The sequence below is a fragment of the Homo sapiens genome, chromosome 15 (assembly GCF_000001405.40).
Source record: "Homo sapiens chromosome 15, GRCh38.p14 Primary Assembly".
Classification (NCBI taxonomy): Eukaryota; Metazoa; Chordata; class Mammalia; order Primates; family Hominidae; genus Homo; species Homo sapiens.
Genome location: NC_000015.10, coordinates 83,186,805 through 83,206,683, shown reverse-complemented (window position 1 = coordinate 83,206,683; position 19,879 = coordinate 83,186,805). Strand labels below are relative to the sequence as shown.

Sequence of the window (19,879 nt, the reverse complement as noted above, 5' to 3'; positions counted from 1 at the left end):
CTACCTCTGACTGGTGGGTCCAGCAAGCTTCTTGTGCCTTTCCACCTCCATATTTGTTTTAGGTAGAATCTCAAACCTTATTCTTGGCCTCCTGCTACAGTCCACAATAGCTCTCTCTTCCTACATAACAAGGTTGTCGTTGGGCTCTTTTTCTAGAAAGCGTCTGCATGTAATACATAGCATTCACAATTTTTATTAAGCTCTTTGAGGAAGACACACAACACTGCCATGTGTGCTTTGTGTTTTAGAAGAAATCCTTTTTATTTTTATTTTTGTATGGTTGGCAGTTGATTGCTTGAAATAAGAAATCTTGTGAAAAGGAGGGTCAAGGCATTCTAGAGATTATATTGGTATTCTTTAGGAACGGAAACAGTCATGGAGAAAATTGGCATAAATATAGTGTGAGCTCTAAAATGTTGTATTGTAGTCAAGTGAAGATAGCAAGATCAAGAAAAAAAAATACACCCATTCACAAAAGGAAGTGACATCACGAGTGGCCAGACTGAAATTTAGTGAAGTTGAAGTAATGGATGGACATAATCACTTTTTAAATATTTGGTTTGGCATGATTGTCAAATGGAAAGAACACTAGGCCAGGAATTGGGGGACCTGGTGTCTGGTTCAGGCTCTGTTATGGACTAATCATTTCAACTGTCTGCATATCCATTGCTGCAACTATAAAATCATCTCTAGGATCCTTTCCAACACTAACAACCTCAGATATCAAGAGGAAAAAACAGTCTTATTCAGGTTCCAGTAGACTGAAAATAGCTTCGCATCTGAACTGTAGATTGTCCTTAAGATAAGGCAAAGTTTTTAAGGTAGAATAACTGGTTATTTTTTATGCTGTAATACAGTATTGCTTAGAGAGGCAAGATTTGTGACTTTAGGAGTCCCTGAATATATTTGTGACTTCAGAAAATCCCCGAATCTGTTTGCCAAGTAAGAAATGTATAGCTTTAGGGCCATATGTGTATAAACACAGTCAAAGCCAATTAAAGGTTACCGTTACTAGTTGGTCATTTCCTAGTACCATAATGGCTTTTTAAAATCTTCCCTTTGAAAAATATCTTCTGATAGTCAAAAAGAAAATAGACTTAAAATTTCATTAATATGTTGCCTGTACAGGTTGGCCACCTGTAGTAATTTGTGAAACAGAAAAATCCTACGGAAGTGGTCCTAGTTGTATATCTAATTGTACATAAAATTCCTGGAAGTGATAATTCCAAATAAGGCAAAATGGAAAATAAAATGAGGAAACAAAATTAAGTTTTTAGATAAAATAGGTACAAGAAAGAAAAATCTGTATCTATTCACATTTAACGAGCTCCTCAAGAAACAACCTAAGACTCAAAAAAAGAAGTTTTATTTTCTCGTTAGTGGCATGCTGCAATTTCCAAAGGTAAAGGTTAGAAAAAGATTTGAGTCCCCTTTTTTACAGTGCGTATACTTCACATATGTTTTCATTTTTTTCATCCCAATTCTATGAGGCATTATTCCCATCTTACACCTAGGTATAGCTGTGTAGATGATAATGTTATAAAATGCTAACTGGGAAAAAAAGTCTTGCTTATTGAAGTTTCAAATATTATCACTTGATACGAAGGCCATTCATGTGGGCATTAGATACTGTGGGGCGCCAAGGACTCAAACTTAGGAGGGAAACCAGGAAGAAACAGATTTCAGAGTACATGTTGTAGGAAGGCACTTTGTATTAGAGCTGGTTCATACAGGAATGGAGAAGCAACTTCCTTGCTCTAGGGAAGATGTTTGGTCCTAGGCAGCCCTTTGTGAGGAATGTAGGTCAAGAGGATTCAGAATTCCTACAGGTTGGATTCAGCTCTTGGCTGGGCTTCACACTGTGACCTTGTGCATGTTCTGTAATCTTTCTAAGTTTCTGTTTACTCGTCTGTAAAATAAAGATAATTCTCACCTCACAAATACAGAGTATCTAAAAGCACCAAGTGATGGTACTTGTATGTTCCTACCTTTTTCCTTTTTGAATTTCTAACTTTCCTTTGTATCACTACACTATTTTAAATTATTGTCAACTTTCAACTCAGATTTATTTTTCCAATATTTTATCCTGAAAAATTTCGAATATATAGATAAGTTTAAAAAATTGAACTGTGAAGACCCATTTATCTACACCTAGATTCTACAATTAAATTTCATTCTACTTGCTCTTTCATGCATCTGTTCATATATCCTCCCTCTATCTACATAATAGTTCCTCTTATTTTAATGCATTTCAAGGTAAGTTGCACACATCGCCATAATTTACTCCTAGACACATGCATGCCATTAACCTAGTGGTTAATACTTTGAATGGATCCTTTTCTCTTTTGAGGTAAAATTTACATGGAATGGAATGTACTTACCTTAACTGTACCATTCGGTGAGTTTGACAAATGTATACATTGGTATAATATAAATATAGCTCTCTATATGATATATGTCTGATATATATAAGTATATGTGATACATATATATAATATAAATACATAAATACATTGACATAATACCTACCAAGGTATAGAACAGTGCCTACGAAAGTACTCTCATGCCTCTTTCTGGTAGATTCCTGTCCTCCTCCTTCCTTCTCCCCCATTGTTCAGATGTATTATTCTAACATTAAATAGCAGCTGGCTGTTTCTCATCTAGTATGCCTAATTTTGTGTGGCTTTAAAAATTAGAAGTTCATCTATGTTATGGATTAGCTAGCTTAATGTTAAAAAGTACTGAGGCTAAAACGAGTCTCTGATCGCTTTTGTTTGTGTACCCTGTTGGTAAAATAATTTGAGCATACATCACTAATATATCTAAATTTTCTTTATATATACATGTGCTTTCTGTTACTACTATATACAGCATAAAATAAACACAAAAAGAAACTAAAAGGGATGACATGATGAAAACAATATGTTTTAAAATTTTCATTGCACAATATCGTTAACAGTAATAATACTTATTATTACTTATAGGTTAAGTTCATATTTTTTAAAGTCTTAATTTTTGGAATATTTTCTGCCTGCTTCTTGTGAGATTTGACTAGATGGATGGTCATTGTTCTTAACTTCCGAAGAGATTTTCTAGAATAGAAGTGTCAGCTTAGACATTTACCTTGTTGTTTGCTTGCATCTACATTACTAATATTATTTTTGTGTAGGAATCTTTCTTTTTTTTAGCCACCTGTTCATTTGGTGAGAGCTAGTTCAGTTAGAAGTAGATATTCCATAATCCTGCTCAACCGGGCACACACCAAATGGCAGTAAATCACAGTATACTCAACGTGAATAAACATAACCATCTGAATAAGAATACTATTAATAGTGTCAACTTGCATATAAAATACTAGTAAAATTTACTTTTTAGCTAAAAGAGTAAGAAACTGAAATCAAAATTCTGTTTTCTTCCCATACCCCACCCAAACCTTCCGCTGAGATGTGAGCACTCTGCTTATGTTACCCCCTACTCTAAAAGGTCAGAAAACAATGTAAACGAAAAGCCTCAAAATTATTGTGCTTTAACTAAAGCACTTTTTTACACTTAAAAACTTTATATGAGAATTATCAAATATTGCTAGTAGAGTGTATTGATAGTTACTTAAGAAAACTGACTTAATCTACATATGCTTACCTTGTGACCTAGCAGTCTCTTCTAGGCATATACCCAAGAGAAATGAGTGTTTATATTCACCAAAATACTGTACAAGAATGCTCATACATAACAACTTTCTTCATGATAGAACAGGAAACAACCCAAATGTCCATCAGCAGGAGAATGAGTAAACAAATTTGTAGTATATTCACATAGTGGAGTACTATTTGACAATAAAAAGGAATAAATTACTGATACAGTGGTCACTGGTTTGTAGTGGGTAGAAAGGAGTTATTGAATAGGAGAAGGCACTGGAAATGTTCCCTGTCTTGATCTGGATGGTGTTACATGGATGTGTACATATGTAAAAATGTATCAAGCTGTACATTTAAGATTTGTGCACTATACTGTATGAAAGTTATACCTCAATTTAAAAAACACATTTTATATGAGTTAGGGAGAAAGGAGAACTAATACTTCTACATGGATTAAATTTCACTATTTTTAGCTTTCAGTGAGTTGTTTTTTTTCCTTCGAGTCCTCACTCCTACCAAGCTGCATCTTCCTATTCCCTTTTGACTTATTATAGAAACTTCATTTTCTACTTTAGAGCATTCTCTTTAGACTTTCTTTGAGTTCTGGTTTCAGCCTGTCTGGTTTGTTTACCTGCATCAGTGTCTTTCTCTTCCTTTAATATTAAATCACTGCTTATCATATTTTTGATCTAGCTTTCTTTAACCTCTCACTTTGTAAAGCATAAGAATAAAGCATTTGACCTTCCTATTTATATAGCTTCAAGAGCTGAGCTCTTACTGAACTTTTGTTGAGCACCTACTGTATGTAAGGCACAGGGGTATAGTTTTTTCATATCTCTAGCAATAGATTAAATTTGCAGCAATTCTAAAACATGATTATGAAGTGTTTCCATACCCTTTATTAATATAAATATTTGTTGGGAATCTTCCTTTTCTGATCCATAGCACTTTCAGGTTTTTTGCATTTGACAATGATCTACTAAGAAGGTGATAAATTTATTTCTGGAGACCAGGCCACATTATTTTCAGAGAATCATTTGGGACTTAAGTTCTTTTTAATCTCAACATAAAGTAAGGTGTTTATAATCTTCATTACTTTGGCCTAAGAAGTACATCAGTTGTTCAGTCCTGGCACAAGCTCACTCAGTCTTTTTCCCAGGGACTACTTTCACTTTGCCAAGGATTTGGCAAATTGTCTCATTTTCTCCCACTTAATCTGGGAGCTCATAGGAACTTTAAACTTTTGATACCAATATGTTCATTTTCCGATGCTCCCGTTTCAACCAGATGAGTCTCTATTCCTGGCACATCCCCTTTGGAATTCTCTAATGACTACTGTTCCTCCATGATTTGGAAAATAATATTAATTCTCGGAAGTCAGTTTTCTACTATTAGAGATTGTATTTGATTCTTTTGGGAAATGACTGATGGTTTAAAATTATGTACAACTTCATTGAAAAGCCTGTTTGCATTAGAAAAGTATTATAGGCTTGTAAGTATAATAAATATAGTAGGAGACTAGCCCGAATATATTTATTTATTGGAGAAAGCTTTCTGTTTCAAAAGTCTCAGATGTTAGATCAGAATCCATCCCACTTGATGTAGTTATTCATCCACTACAAAAAGGTGTTCTAATCACTTGCAGTGCTACTGAAAGCATGTCCTGTGAATGTTACTTGTCAGTGACAAAATAGGTACAGAAATTGAAATAAGAGTTTAGAAATTTTTAGAGCCGTTTGATGGAGTAGCTTTGTGAATCTAATAATTGAGGCTTACATTTTGTATGTCTTTATTTTTCTCATAATTTATTTTTATTTTATAAACATGTCTGTTTGCAACTCATTAGAACTTTAAAAAAAAAAACTAGTCATTCACTCTAGGTAGAGTAGAAGTACTGACTATGAAGGATCTTTAAAGGTCAATAGTGGTCCTAATACGTAAAATAATTTGCTCATATGGTGTATTTAAACTATTGGCAACTATGTAAAAGGGGGAATGGGTTGACCTTCATGTTACAAATATTAATTTCTCCTGCATAAAAGTACCCTCATTGAAATAGAGGATAGAGATTATAAATTATTTTTTTCTGTCTTCTTTTTACCTAGATAAGAATTTACCACATTTAGTCTGGTAAATAACCATCTGTATGGTCACAGAGAGCCACACAGAAGTGAAAAAAAAAAAAAAAAAAAGAATAAAGTAATCTAATGATTGGTGAGCACAAGCCTTCAGAATGACATCCTCCAGATTTCTGAGGAAGTCCTGCAATGAAGAGAAAGAGAATCAGACCAGGGGTTAAAAGACAAGTACTTCATTCCACTACTATCTTGGTTTGTTAGGCTGGGCATCTTTTTTATTGTGAACCTCTTTGTAAAATAGGATGGATGATAATTCTTACTCTTTCCCTTCTTTTTCCTAAGGATCAAATGTTAAAATGTATATGAAAGAACTATTTGCTAATTAAGTTCCAATTAAGTTACTAAATAATTATCTCCCAAGAACACAAAGCTTCTTACTTATACAATGCAGGGAACGTAGTAAAGTCTCAGTAAATGCTTCTGTGGTTTGGAAGGTATGTTTTTCAGCAGCTGCTTTGTGGCTTTATAATAGTGAGTTGGCTCTAGACTCTGGGAATTTGGGGACTTCCCATTGTTACCCATCTTGATTTCTGAGTGTGATAGGCCATTTCTTTTTTTTCTTTCTTTTTTTTTTTTGAGATGGAGTCTTGCTCTGTCATGAAGGCTGGAGTGCAGTGGCGGGATCTCCGCTCACTGCAAGCTCCGCCTCCCGGGTTCCTGCCTCAGCCTCCCGAGTAGCTAGGACTACAGGTGCCCACCACCACGCTGGGCTGATTTTTTTGTATTTTTTTAGTAGAGATGGGGTTTCACTGTGTTAGCCAGGATGGTCTCAATCTCCTGACCTCGTGATCTGCCTGCCTCGGCCTCTCAAAGTGCTGGGATTACAGGTGTAAGCCACCACACCTGGCCTTTTTTTTTTTTTTTTTGAGATGGAGTTTCGCTTTGTCGCCCAGGCTGGAGTGCAGTGGGGCGATCTCGGCTCACTGCATCCTCTGCCTCCTGAGTTTAAGCAATTCTCTGCCTCAGTCTCCTGAGTAGCTGAGATTACAGGTGCCCACCACCATGCCCGGCTAATTTTTTTTTTGTATTTTTAGTAGAGACTGGGTTTTACTATCTAGGCCAGGCTGATCTTGAACTCCTGACCTCGTGATCCACCCGCCTCGGCCTCCCAAAGTGCTGGGATTACAGGTGTGAGCCCCTGCACCTGGCTTGTGATAGGCCATTTCTGGAAGTTCCACAGAGCTTCAGGATTTGGGGACAAGATAAACTGGACCACATTAACATACAAAAAGGGTCTAAGAATAAACTATTCTTCTCATTTGATCATTGAAACTCATATTCTGAATAGATTCTCTAAGTCTGAATATAGAGTCTATACAGCTACCCAGAAGTAGAGGTGTCAGTGTAGGGGAGTCAGTGGTAGCTGCCAGGTTGCCTGTATGGGGACTGGAAAATTTCTGATCACATAGTAATAACTTCTCAGTTTCTATTGCAAAATACGAGATGAGAGTGGTTTTAAGTGATAGTTTCAGTAGTGGTTAGCACATATAAAAATGAGTTTCACAGAAGATTAAGGATTTTTTATGATGTAGACAGGTCAGAAAATAAACTCAACTTCAGATCTCTATTTCCTTTTCCTTTGACACTGAAGTAGTACTTTATTATTAATAACATGTTTGATCTTGGAGGAAATGCTTGTTCAGAGGGAGTAGTAGTATAAATTCTCAGTTAATGCTTTTAGAGTTACCATATGTTGAATGGATTGAAAATTCCCTCTAGACCACTATTTGATGTTCCAAATGAAACCAACTAATTTAAAACAAGTTATAACTTCTCTTATCTCCTTCCCTGGACTACTACATGATGATGAAGTCAATAATTTTGAAAAAAATATTTAGACTTTGGAAATGAGTTGTTGTTGCTGATTGATTGCAGTCTAACGGCTTTCAGGTTTTTTGACTGTAACCTACAGTGAGAAATAAATATTAATTCCCATCCCAGTACGTGCACATGCATGCACACACACACTGCTGAGATTTTTATATGATCCGTTTGTCCCCTCCAAAACTCATGTTGAAATTTTATCCCCAGTGTGGTGGTGTTGGGAGGTGGGTTCTAGCGAGAGGTGTTTGGGTACTGTTGCTGGTCCTGTGGTAGTGAGTTCTCCCTCTCTGGAGACTAGATTAGTTCTCTGAGAATAGATTAGTTCTTGCAAGAGTGAGTTATAAAGCAAGTTTCTTCCTCCTGTTTGGTTGCTTTTCACGTGTCCACTTTCCCTTTGACCTTCTTTGCCATGTTTTGAGTTAGCACGTGGCCCTTACCAGAAGCTGAGCAGATGCTGGTACCATGCTTATACTTTCCAGCCTGCAGAACCATGAGCTAAATAAAGCCTGTTTTCTTTATAAATTACCCAGCCTCATTTATTCTGTTACAGCAACCCAAAATGGACTAAGATGCACCTATAACAAAAAAATTTTCAAGTTGTACTTACTATATGTGATACATTCTGATATTTTTATATTTCATTTTATGTAAAGTCAGGTTGCAACCTGCTAAATGAGTTTCATTACCTACAGTTTGAAAAACACTGGTCTGGTCAGTAGGCCAAAGGGAAAGTAATCTCTGTGAGTTGTATGCGTTTATATAGAACAGAAGTTGGATTTTTGAGAGGATGATTTGTTAACAGTCCTGAGCTTTTTATTCTGCTGTAGCCACAGTCTTACATGAAGGTCACACGAACATAAATTAAAGCAATAGTGTATTAGGTCATTGAACTATCCAGGCCAATATGTCCCCTGATCCCAAAAGGTTAGTTATATAGATTTTAATTCTCATCTTCCTTTTAATCTTTCAACTGCAAATGTATCAACAACTATATATATAATTAATTGGCTTCTTTTTTTTTTTTTTTTTTTTGAGACGGAGTCTCTCTCTGTCACCCCAGGCTGGAGTGCAGTAGTGTGTTCTTGGCTCACTGCAAGCTCTACCACCCTCCTCATCACCCCCTCCCCGCCGCCCCCAGGTTCTCCTGCCTCAGCCTCCCAATTAGCTGGGATTACAGGCGCACACCACCACACCCGGCTAATTTTTTAGATGTTTAGTAGAGATGGGGTTTTGCCATGTTGGGCAGGCTGGTCTCGAACTCCCAAAGTGCTGGGATTACAGGCGTGAGCCACCGTGCCCGGCCTATAATTGACTTCTTAAAGGTAGTAAGTTCCACACGTTTGCTGACTACCGAGTTATATACAGTGTTTGACAAACTAGTGTTCCGTGGCTGATGATATTGAGGCTGTGGAGTTTTCCTGGTTTGTGGGACTAGACTGTGGAGGTATCAAGCTATGACTGAAGATGATGAGCTTTTGTGAAGTTCAGAAACTTGAAGATAGGGCAGGTTTGTGGTACCCTTTAAAGTGGATGTAAAGTTTTTGCGATTAACATGTTTCTAATGGTTTTGTATTTCCTTTTTAATTATTTTGTCCTATCAAAAAGAGATTGCCTTGCTACTGTGAGATATAGCAATCTGAGTAGAGAGAACCTGGTATTGATGATAGGAAGGCATTCTTCAATTTTTTAAAAGAAACATTTCTGAAAAGTTACTGTAAGCACAGTTTTATGTCTTACATCTGGCTCACTGACTCACATAAAATATGTAAAATGTTATTAGAAACAGACCCACTATACTATTATAAATGGAAATATTTTGAAGTAAAAGAAATAAGATTAGATTAAATTTTATGATATGCCAGGTGTTCAAGAACTCTGGCTGTTCTCCAGCTCAGCACTGACCCTATCTTATGCTATGTGTGATGTCAGGGGAAGGACAAAGCCTTTGGTAGAGTTATGAAATATCATGGTCTCCATTCTTCGTTTTGAGTACACTCCTGGGATAAAGATTTATTTAACTACAAAGGATCAGGTAACCCAGAACAAATGTGTCCCTTATTTTTATATTGTAAAAGCAAATGACAAAAGTAGTGCAGCTTAACAAGAGTGGGCATGCCCTAGGTCAGCTCCTTGTACATCTTCCTCAGATGTTAGTAGATACATTTACTATTCTCTTCCAGCCTTTCCCCCTCATTTTCAGCAAATTGTTTTACCTTCATACTTCATAGAGAAAATAGATGCCAACAGGCTTTAACTGCACCTTCCTATCTTTTGCTTATAAATGAAAATCATCTCTCTCTAACCTTCTCTAATCCTCTTGGATTTTTGTTTCCCCCTTTTTTGTTAATCAATTCTATTTTTTTCTCTAAATCATTAATTTCTGATCTCATCTTCACTACCTTTCCCCAAGTATATTTTTCTTTTCTTCTATTTCAAACTTAATGAAATAAAGTCTTATTTAATTTTTTTGAAATCTTTTTGAAAATGAAAACTTTTAAAGCTAGTTTTCCTCAGGTCATATTTGGCTTCATGATGTAGATTTGAATAATTGGTGTTTTATAGTCATTTTCAAAATAGGTTTTGTGATTTTCATTTCTGAGTTGGCCCAAGAGATATTTAGGAGAGAATTTTAGGAATTATAACTGGCTAAAGAGTTTGTATGTAATGCTTTATTGTTTTTTAATATGGTTATCTTGTAGTCAGATTATGTATCCTTTTTAACTATTTTAATTCATTTAGTGTTCTTTTCATATGTGATCAACTTTTAAAAAATGGTTTTTGTATTCCTGAAAAGAAAGCTTCTTTAGGAGTCAATAAGTATATTGACTTAATAAATGAGTCAATAAGTATATTGACTTAATAAATAAGTCAATAAATATAATGGACAAATATAAATATATTGATATTTACTAATATATTTTTTAAAATTCTTAATGTTTATTTTTTGTCAACTACTCTCTCCAAAATGAAGAGGTATATAAATCTAACATATCTATTATATTTCTACATATCTGTCCCTTTTTTTGACCGTTTATTTAATAAATGTCAGGGCTTTATTTGGCACATAAATGTGTATAACTTGTAACTTCAGGATGGAGTCAAAATATAGTGATCTGCTATTTCATACTTTCTAGCACATAAGTTATAGTACTTCGTTGGATATTAGTTTTGTAACCTGTTTTCATTTTTGCTTTTATTTCACTAATACATCTTTATCCAGAATTTTACTCAAAACTTTTCTGTTTTGTTTTAAGATATAAGTATATGTAACTTAATTTTTTTAACCATTCCTAGGAGATTTTTTTCCCTTTTTTCATTCTTTGCCAAATTTTGTAAGAACCTGGTTTTCAGCATTTAAGCATATAACATTCTTAATTTCTGTCATTGAAACTTTTACTTTTTAAATTTTCAGTTATTTCCATGTGAAGGTAGAACTACGTGAATTGGGTAACATTAATGTTCTACCATTATAATCTCATTAGGTGTTTATTGAGTATCTCTTCTGGGTTAGTAACTGTGATAGACTTAGCATTATAAAAATTAATAAGACATGATTTTAACATTAAAGAGCTTGAGATAGATTAAGGAACAGAAACATGTACATAGAGGAATACAAGTGCAATATATGTAGATCTCGATGACAATATTTTTCTTTTATTTTTTTAAAAAGACACATTTATTCAGTATCATGATCAGACTATTACATTTAGCAATCAACAGCATGGGTGCAAAAAAAAATCTACATTAAAAAACCTTTGTTGGAATGTTTTACACTTTCCACATAACAGAAACTAAAATAACCTGTTATACAATTAGTCACAAATACAATCCTCAAGTTTTTTGCCCAATATTTGTCTGAAACATGATGACAGGATTTTTCTATCTTTGCAATTAGACTAAATGAACAAGAATGAGCCAAAACTGACTAAGAAAGAGCGTGGAAAAGAGAATACATGGAGACATTTTTAATTGGCAATTTATTACAAAAAGACTGGGTTTCAGCTTTTTTTGTCATACGATATTGAAATGTAGTTTTTGGAACTGTCTACATTATTTGTAATACAACTATATAGTCTTACCATTAGAAAGAGATAACACTGCATCCTGAGTGAGCCCTCCTTTACATTTTGTTCTATTGCTTTTTCCTTCCCTGCAGGCAATTTCAAAGTCTTTAATGAAAATTTAAATGATAGTACCTTCTGAGACATAAGATTTAAGATGATTTTCAGTGTTGTTTTCGAAGGGATGAGAAAGCTAAAATGCATTAATCTCTTTTACCAACTGACTTGCTCAGTTACAGAGCAAGTAAGTGGAAGGGAGCTGCACTAAAATTCATTGCCGTCTGCACCCATCTCCATAGGATGCCAGGAGGAAGTGAAAGGAGATAAGGAATTCACACTAACCACTTTGACAATTAGGCAGAAACCCTGAATTTATTTTAGGTAAAGAAAAGGTGAAAACCAGACTTGGAATAAGCTTTTTATGTGCTCATTGTAATTAAAAAAAAATTTTAATTGTAAAAATACATAGAATGTAATTTATACCATCTTAATAATCATTTTAAGTGTATAGTTTATGTAATATTAAGTACATTGTTTTGTAACCATCACCACTCTCTATCTCCAGAACTCTTTTCATCTTGCAAAACAAACTATACCCATTAAAAAATAACTCTACATTCCCTGCCTCCTAGTCCCTGGCAATCACCTCTCCACTTTGTGTCTCTATGAGTGGGCTACTCTGGGTACCTCATACAGATGGAATTATACGGTATGTGTTTTTTTGTGACTGGCTTATTTCACTTAGCATAATATCCTTGAGGCTCATGTATGTCCAAATTTTCTTCCTTTTTGAGACTGAATAACATCCCATTGTGTATATGTAAAACATTTTGTTTATTCATCCACTGATGGATACCTGAGTTTTTTTCACCTTTTGGTTATTGTGAATGATGCTGTTATGAACATGAATGTACAACTATCTCTTAAAGACCCTACATTCTGTTCTTTGGAGTAGGTAGCCAGAAGTTGAATTCCTTGTTCATATTGATGCAGGACAGGTGAGCCCCCAAATTGGGGCTTAGCTTGGGAGGGTTCTTGGCTTTGCCCAGGAAAGAATTCATGGGTGGGGTGGTGGTGGTGTGAGTCAGCAACTCTTATTAACGTGGCAGCGTATAGCAGCAGCAGCACAGGTACTGCCCCATGCAGAGTGCAGCTACACTATAGGCTACCCTGTAGGCAGTGTACCCAGAGTAGCAGTTCAGGGGCAGTTCTGCAGTCATGTTTATATCCACTTTTAATTACATGGAAATTAAGGGACAGATTATGCAGAAATTCCTAGAAAAAGGATTGTAACTTCTGGGTCATTGTGTCCTTGCCATGGAAAGGGGCAATAACTTCCAGATGTTGTGCTGGCAACGGTAAATTGACATGGCACTGGTAGGTGTGTCCTACGGAGAGTTGCTTTCATATTTTTCCTGTTTCTGCTAGTCTTCAATCTGGTCCAGGGTCTAAGCCCTGCCTTCTACTTCAATATGGTAATTGTATTTGTAATATTTTGAGGAAACACCGTACTGTTTTCCATAGGGACTGCACCATTTTACATTCTCACCAACAATGCACAAGGGTTCCAATTTCTTTACTTCCTCGCCGATGCTTATTTTCTGTTTTTTTTCAAAGTAGGAATCCTAATGGGTGTGAGGTGGTATCTTATGGTTTTGACTTGCACTTCCTTAATGAGCAGTAATGTTGGGCATCTTTTCGTGTGCTTATTGGCCATTTGTATGTCTTCTTTGGAATAATGTCTATTGTCCTTCACCCATTTTTTAATCAGCAAAAAATGGTGGTTGTTGTTGAGTTGTAGGACTTAATCATATGTTCTGGTTGTTAGCTTCTTAGGAGATCTATGATTTGCAAATAATTTTCTCCCATTGCACGGATTGCTTTTTTTTACTCTTGATTTTTGTGCTTATTGTAATTTATTCAAATAAGCAGAGAACGGGACTCTGGAAGAGATGTCCCATGACAGTGAGTTTTTATGGAAGTCCATATGTGGTAAAGGCAGGAGCAATGAAGTAAGGTCCTGTGGTGACATGGCGTTACATGGAATAGAACAGGAGAGGAAGTTACTGGAAGATAAAGAGCTAAGACTAAAGACAAACCTCAGAAGTTTGCCCAGGCCTGTCCTTAAATGAGGCAATTGGTTAGAATTGAGAACAAAGAAAGTAAGATAGTGTTCAGAAAATGCCTGTGTTTGATTATTTAAATGATTGAATCAGATGTTGTACATATAGGGTGGTCAAGATGGATTGGTTGTGCTACCACTTTTATTTGTTTTTAAAACAGGCATATCTTAAGACTCAAAAAACCCAAAACTTAAGATTTTGTTTTATGCCTAGGATTTTTCAAATTTTCCTGTGATGAATTTCATCCTTGAGACATAAACTGAAGGAGATTATTTCTGAAAAAATTATCCAAAAAATGCTGTCTTTTCTGGACATTTATGTTCCCACAACCAAGTCTTAACCTGTACTTATGGAAATATTACAATTAGCTCATTCATCGTGCCTTTTTTCTTATTTTATTGGGAACTACATTGACTCATCAAAAATTAATGTTAGCTTCCTAATCAAAGTACTCACCATGTCTGCTCTCTTAACTGTGGCATATATTGGTATTTTCTTCCTACTGTTTGCTTTCCATAATTAAATGTTTGTTTAGCAACCCTGTCAGGAGTGCATGTCTATCAAAATTTGTTTTGTTTTGTTTTTTATTTTTAGATTGGAACTTTTGGCAGAAAGTCAAAACTGTCTTCATATCTGTATCCTTAGAAAGAGGTGAGTTACAGGTCAGGCACTGTGGCTCATGCCTGTAATCCCAGCACTTTGGGAGGCCGAGGCAGGTGGATCACCTGAGGTCAGGAGTTCGAGACCAGCCTGGCCAACATGGTGAAACCCCACCTCTACAAAAATACAAAAAATTAGCCAGGCGTGGTGGCAGGCATCTCTAACCCCAGCTACTTGGGAGGCTGAGGCAGGAGAATTGCTTGAACCTGGGAGACAGGGGTTGCAGTGAGCTGGGATTGCACTATTGCATTCCAGCCTGGGTGACAAGAGCGAAACTCTGTCTCAAAAAAAAAAAAAAAAAAAAAAAGGAGAGATAAGTTACAATAGGATGCATTTAACAGATGGTTCAAAATCCTTACAATGTTATTAATGCTACCATAGGTTAAGTTTTTGAGACATTTGATGGATTATCATGCTTGTGCTTGGATTCGGTGATTTTTGCCTTTTGTCTGGTATCAGTCTAGGATATACATCCAAAGATAACAAGCAGAAGAATCAATGTTACTGAAAATAAGTTAGCCAAATAAATGACAGACTTTGAGGAACATATCCAGAGTATAATAAAAGAAAGTTTTCCTCACCTTAATAACAGACATAGTTGGAAATTGACAAGGTTTATAACATGTTAGATTCCAAGACATACTTTAGTTAAAGTCTTAAACTTACAATTTTATATGTTTCCAATAAAAAATTGGGACAAACAGAATTAGCTTGTTGAGATTCACAATTAACTGTTGGAATTTGGATTATATCTTTGGATTAGTATGGGAAGAATTGACATCTTAGAATATTGAGGCTTCTAATCCATGACTGTGGCTTATTTTTATATTTATTTAGGCCTTCTTAAATGTTTTAAAATTGTTTTGTAATTTTCTGTACATATATTTTAGGTATATTCTTAGGTATCTTTTAGTCCTTGCTGATTTTATAAATGCGTGTTTAATTGTGTTTTCTTTTTATTTCTGTTCTTTCAAATGCATGTATAAAGACAGCCAAAACAAGACATTTCTGAACAAGGAGAATAAGGTGGTGAGACTTGTCCTATCAGTTATCAACACACAGAATTGTTCAAATAGTAATTAACAGTAAATTAAGACCGCTTTTGGCTCAGGGAGAGATGTATTAACCAGCAGAATAGAAAGTGAATACAGAAACCGGCCCACAGATAGATGGAATTCTTGATATGGAATTCAAGATCAAGGGGAGGAAAGGAGAAACTTTTTTAAAAACACTGATATGATTAGTTATCCATATAGGTTAAATATCCATATGGGTTAACTTTCATAGTATCCATATGAAATTAGATCCTTAATTCACACCATGTACAAAAATCGTTTCTACATAGATAAAAGTGTGGAAGGCTTTCAGGGCCTGTGGGAAAATATCATTGTGTCCCTGGAGTAAGGAAGAATTTCCTGACAAGACATAGAAAGAACTAGCCATAACAGGAAAGATTAATAAAATTGTGTACATTAAAATCAAGTGCTTTTGTTCACTGAAAAACTCTATAATGAAATTGAAAAGATAAGCCACAAAATGGGAGAAGATGCTTACCATACATAGAACCAATAAAGCTTTAGTATACAAAATGAGTCAGTAAGAAAAAGACAAAAGCTCAATGGGAAAATGGGCAAAAGACATGAACAGCCATTTCATAGAAAAAATACATAAGGCCTATAAATATATGAAAAGATGCTCTGCCTCATAAGTAATCGGGAAATGCAAAGTAAGATCAATATGAGACTGCCAAAAATTAAAAGGTTTGCCAGTATCATATGTTAAAGAGGATATGGGTGAACAGAAACTCTTATACAATACTGAAGAAGTATATACTGGTCCAACCCCTTTGGAAAACAATTTCACTTTATGTTGTAAAGTTGGATTTTGCATACTTTCTGACTTAGCATCTCTAATCCTAGTTGTACACTCTAGAGAAATACATATAACAGAAGATATGTACAAGAATTTTACAACAACAGGATTCATAATGGTGAACAAAATTTGGAAATGAGCAAGCTTTTTTTTTTTTTTTTTTGAGACAGAGTTCAGCTCTGTTGCCCAGGCTGGAGTATAGTGGCACAATCATGGCTCACTGCAGGCTCCCAAGCTCAAGCAATCCTCTTACCGCAGACTCTGTGCCTAAGTAGCTAGGACTACAGGCACACACCACCACACCCAGCTAATTTTTTTGTTTTGTTTTGTAGAGATGAGGTCTCACTATGTTGCCCAGGCTGGTCTTGAGCTCCTGGGCTCAAGCAATGATCCCACATTGGCCTCCCAAAGTGCTGGAATCATAGAACCCAAGCTTTTTGATGGAGGATGAAAAGTTAAATTGTAGTGTATTGACATAACAGGATATTATGCCGCATTAAATATGAATGAGCTACAGCTATACATTGGTTGCTTTCAATGTAGTTAATCAGAGTACCTTTGCAATTATCAGTGTCAAAAATAATAAAGCAATATTTACCCATTATTTTAAAAAAAATGATTGAATTCCCACTGTATGCCAGATTACTGTTCTGAGTGCCAGGGATTTAACAGTGAACAAGAAGGACACATCTTCTGTCTTCATGAAGCTTATATTTTAGTTTAGAGGGGGAGATATGAATTAGTAAGCAAGCAGAGTAATATGTAATTTAATGTAGCCAGGAAAGGTATGGAAAAAGATGAAGCAAAGTAAGAGGCTAGCATGTATGTGATGTGTGTGTTTCTGTATAATAAAGGAAGACTTCTGTGAAAATGTGACACTTCAGCAGAGTTGGATGTTCTGAGGAAAAAGTAGGAATGAGCTCAGCATAATCAAGGAAAAGCAAGAAGGCAAATGAGGCGCAGAGTGAGCGAGCTAGGACCTGGGGGAGAAGGACAGAAGATGAATTCAGGTAGGTAGACAAAGCCATATCATGTAAGGCCTTATAGTTTAGTAACAAGTTTAGAGTTTTTAAAGTAGGATGGAAAGTCATAGGAGAGTTTTAAGCAGGGGAATTACATGATCTGATTTATATTCAGGGACTGAAGAATTGATTGTTGGGGGCAAAGGGAGGGGTGGAGTAGGGGAAGGTAGATTCAAAGGGCCCAGTTGGTAGGCTTTCATAGAAGTTTGGATGATAGTGGAGTAGATAGGGATGGGGTAGAGTAGCAGTGGATGTAGAAAGAAGTGGTTAGTTTGGTGACATGTTTTGGGGTATAATTGAAGGACACAGTGATGAATGAGATATGTCTGTGAGGGGGAGGAATAAATCAATAATGAATTCCAGGTTCTGGTAAGGGCATCTGGGTGGATGGTGACGCCCTTTACTCACATGGAGAATCTTGAAAGCTAAGTAGATTAGGCCACAAGATGTTAAGAGTTCATTTTAGAAATGCCAGTGAGACACCCAATATGTGAGTCTGAAGCTCATATGAGAGGTCTGGAGTTTGAAGATAGAAATATGAGACTCATCAACATACAGGTGGCATTTAAAACCATAGAACCAGATGAAATCACCAAGGGAGTAAGTAAGTGTAGGTAGGTAGAGAAGAGAAGAGGGGCTATGAAAGGAGACTCATAAGAAGTGGATGGTAAGATAGGGAAAAAGTATATTACGAGACTATGGCATCCTGGAATCCGAGAAGAAAATACGTCAATGGATACATTACATAATGAATAAATATGCAGTGGAAATTGTACATATCAGATGAGTATATTATACATTAATAGTTGTTTTTAAAAAATACTGTAATCCCAGGTTTTGGGAGGCCAAGGTAGGCGGATCATCTGAGGTCAGGAGTTCAACCTGGCCAACAATGGTGAAACCCCATCTCTACCAAAACATACAAAAATTAGCTGGGTATAGTGGTGGTGCACACCTGTAGTCCCAGCTACTCAGGAGGCTGAGGCGCGAGAATTGCTTGAACCAGCAGGCAGAGGTTGCAGTGTGCTGAGATCACCACTGCCCTCCAGCCTGGGCGACAGAGTGAAACCCTGTCTCAAAAAATTAAATAAAAATAAATAACCCTGTAGGGAAATGCAGAAATGATATTAATAGGCAGTTCACTGAAAGGCAAATCTTGATGGCCAGTAAACTTATGAAAAGATGCTTAACCTCACCATTAATGAGGGAAATACAAATTTAAAAGAGCAATAATGTCTAATGCTGTCAAAGATTGGAAGGGAAGTCATTTTCATACTTTGGTTGAAATGTAAATTATTATAGCCTTTAAAAAATATGTTCTGGTAATATCTGCTAAAATGGAAAATACCTCTAATCTATGATCCAACAATCTCCTCAAAGTCTATCCCATGTAAATAGAAGCACCAGTGCATAAAAATGTGTGTTTACTGCAACCTTTTCCTTTTTTTTTTTTTTTTTTTTGAGACAGAGTTTCGCTCTTGTTGCCCAGGCCAGAGTGCACTGGCACAATCTCAGCTCACTGCAACCTCAGCCTCCCAGGTCAATCAGTTCTCCTGCCTCAGCCTCCCGAGTAGCTGGGATTACAGGCATGTGCCACCATGTCGGGCTAATTTTGTATTTTTATTGGAGACGGGGTTTCTCCATGTTGGTCAGGCTGGTCTCGAACTCCGGACCTTAGGTGATCCGCCCGCCTCAGCCTCCCAAAGTGCTGGGATTACAGGCGTGAGCCACCACGCCCGGCCACTGCAGCCTTTTTCTAAGGAGAAAAGCACTGAAAACAAGGTAAATGCCCATCCCTGGGGAAAGGTTAAATAAATTATAGGTTATCCAATTGCTGTATTATTATGCGGCCATTAAAAACAAATTAATTAAATTTATGGCAATTGACTGCAAGGACTTTTCATGGTGCAGAGAATTTTATAAAGTATGATTCCTGTGTGTGTATTTGTGGTGGTGTGTGTTTGAGAGAGAGACACACACAGAGAGTAGTTCTCCACACACACACACAAAAAAAAAACTCTGCCCGTGTAACATTTGTATATGATTATGTATATGAACATGGAGAAAAGCATACTTTGTTATAAGTAGTGATTACCTGAGGAAGAGTAAGTCTGGGGGAAGATTTAGCGGTAAGCCTCCACTTACTCAATTAACAAACAAACAATGTCTCTGTTTAAAAAAAAAAAAAAAGAATTTCCAAGAAAAGTAGCTTCTGTGACATACAGCCCATTTATGTAAAATATATGTGTGTATATATATGACATGAAAAGATAGTCACCAAAATGAGAATCCTAAAGTATAACTAATTTTTTAAAGTAAAATGCTAATTTGGGATATATTCATCACCATTTTTTTTCTCCTTTCATTGCTGGTTCAGATGGAGAATGCTAATATTGATCAGATAAATCCAATTTACAGATAGAATAAAGATAATTTTGTTTTTAAAAAATGTATTTATTTACTTATTTTTCAATATCTTTATGGGGTACAAGTGGTTGTTGGTTACATGGATGCATTATATTGCGGTAAAGTCTGGGATTTTAG

At 35.9% G+C, this 19,879-nt stretch overlaps 1 protein-coding gene across 3 annotated transcripts in view, besides 1 other annotated feature; it reads left to right on the top strand.

Annotated features, from left to right (window-relative positions):
- The window catches only part of HDGFL3 (HDGF like 3), a 95,086-nt gene that overhangs the window by 1,140 nt on the left and 74,067 nt on the right, over positions 1–19,879 (top strand). The gene's annotated exons all lie outside the window — the stretch shown is intronic.
- Positions 6,245–6,404: an enhancer, noted in NCBI's record as "active region_9971". NCBI's record gives its function as "activates an Ori minimal core promoter by ATAC-STARR-seq in GM12878 lymphoblastoid cells {active_cell/tissue: GM12878}" and the evidence as "EXISTENCE:reporter gene assay evidence [ECO:0000049][PMID:35858748]".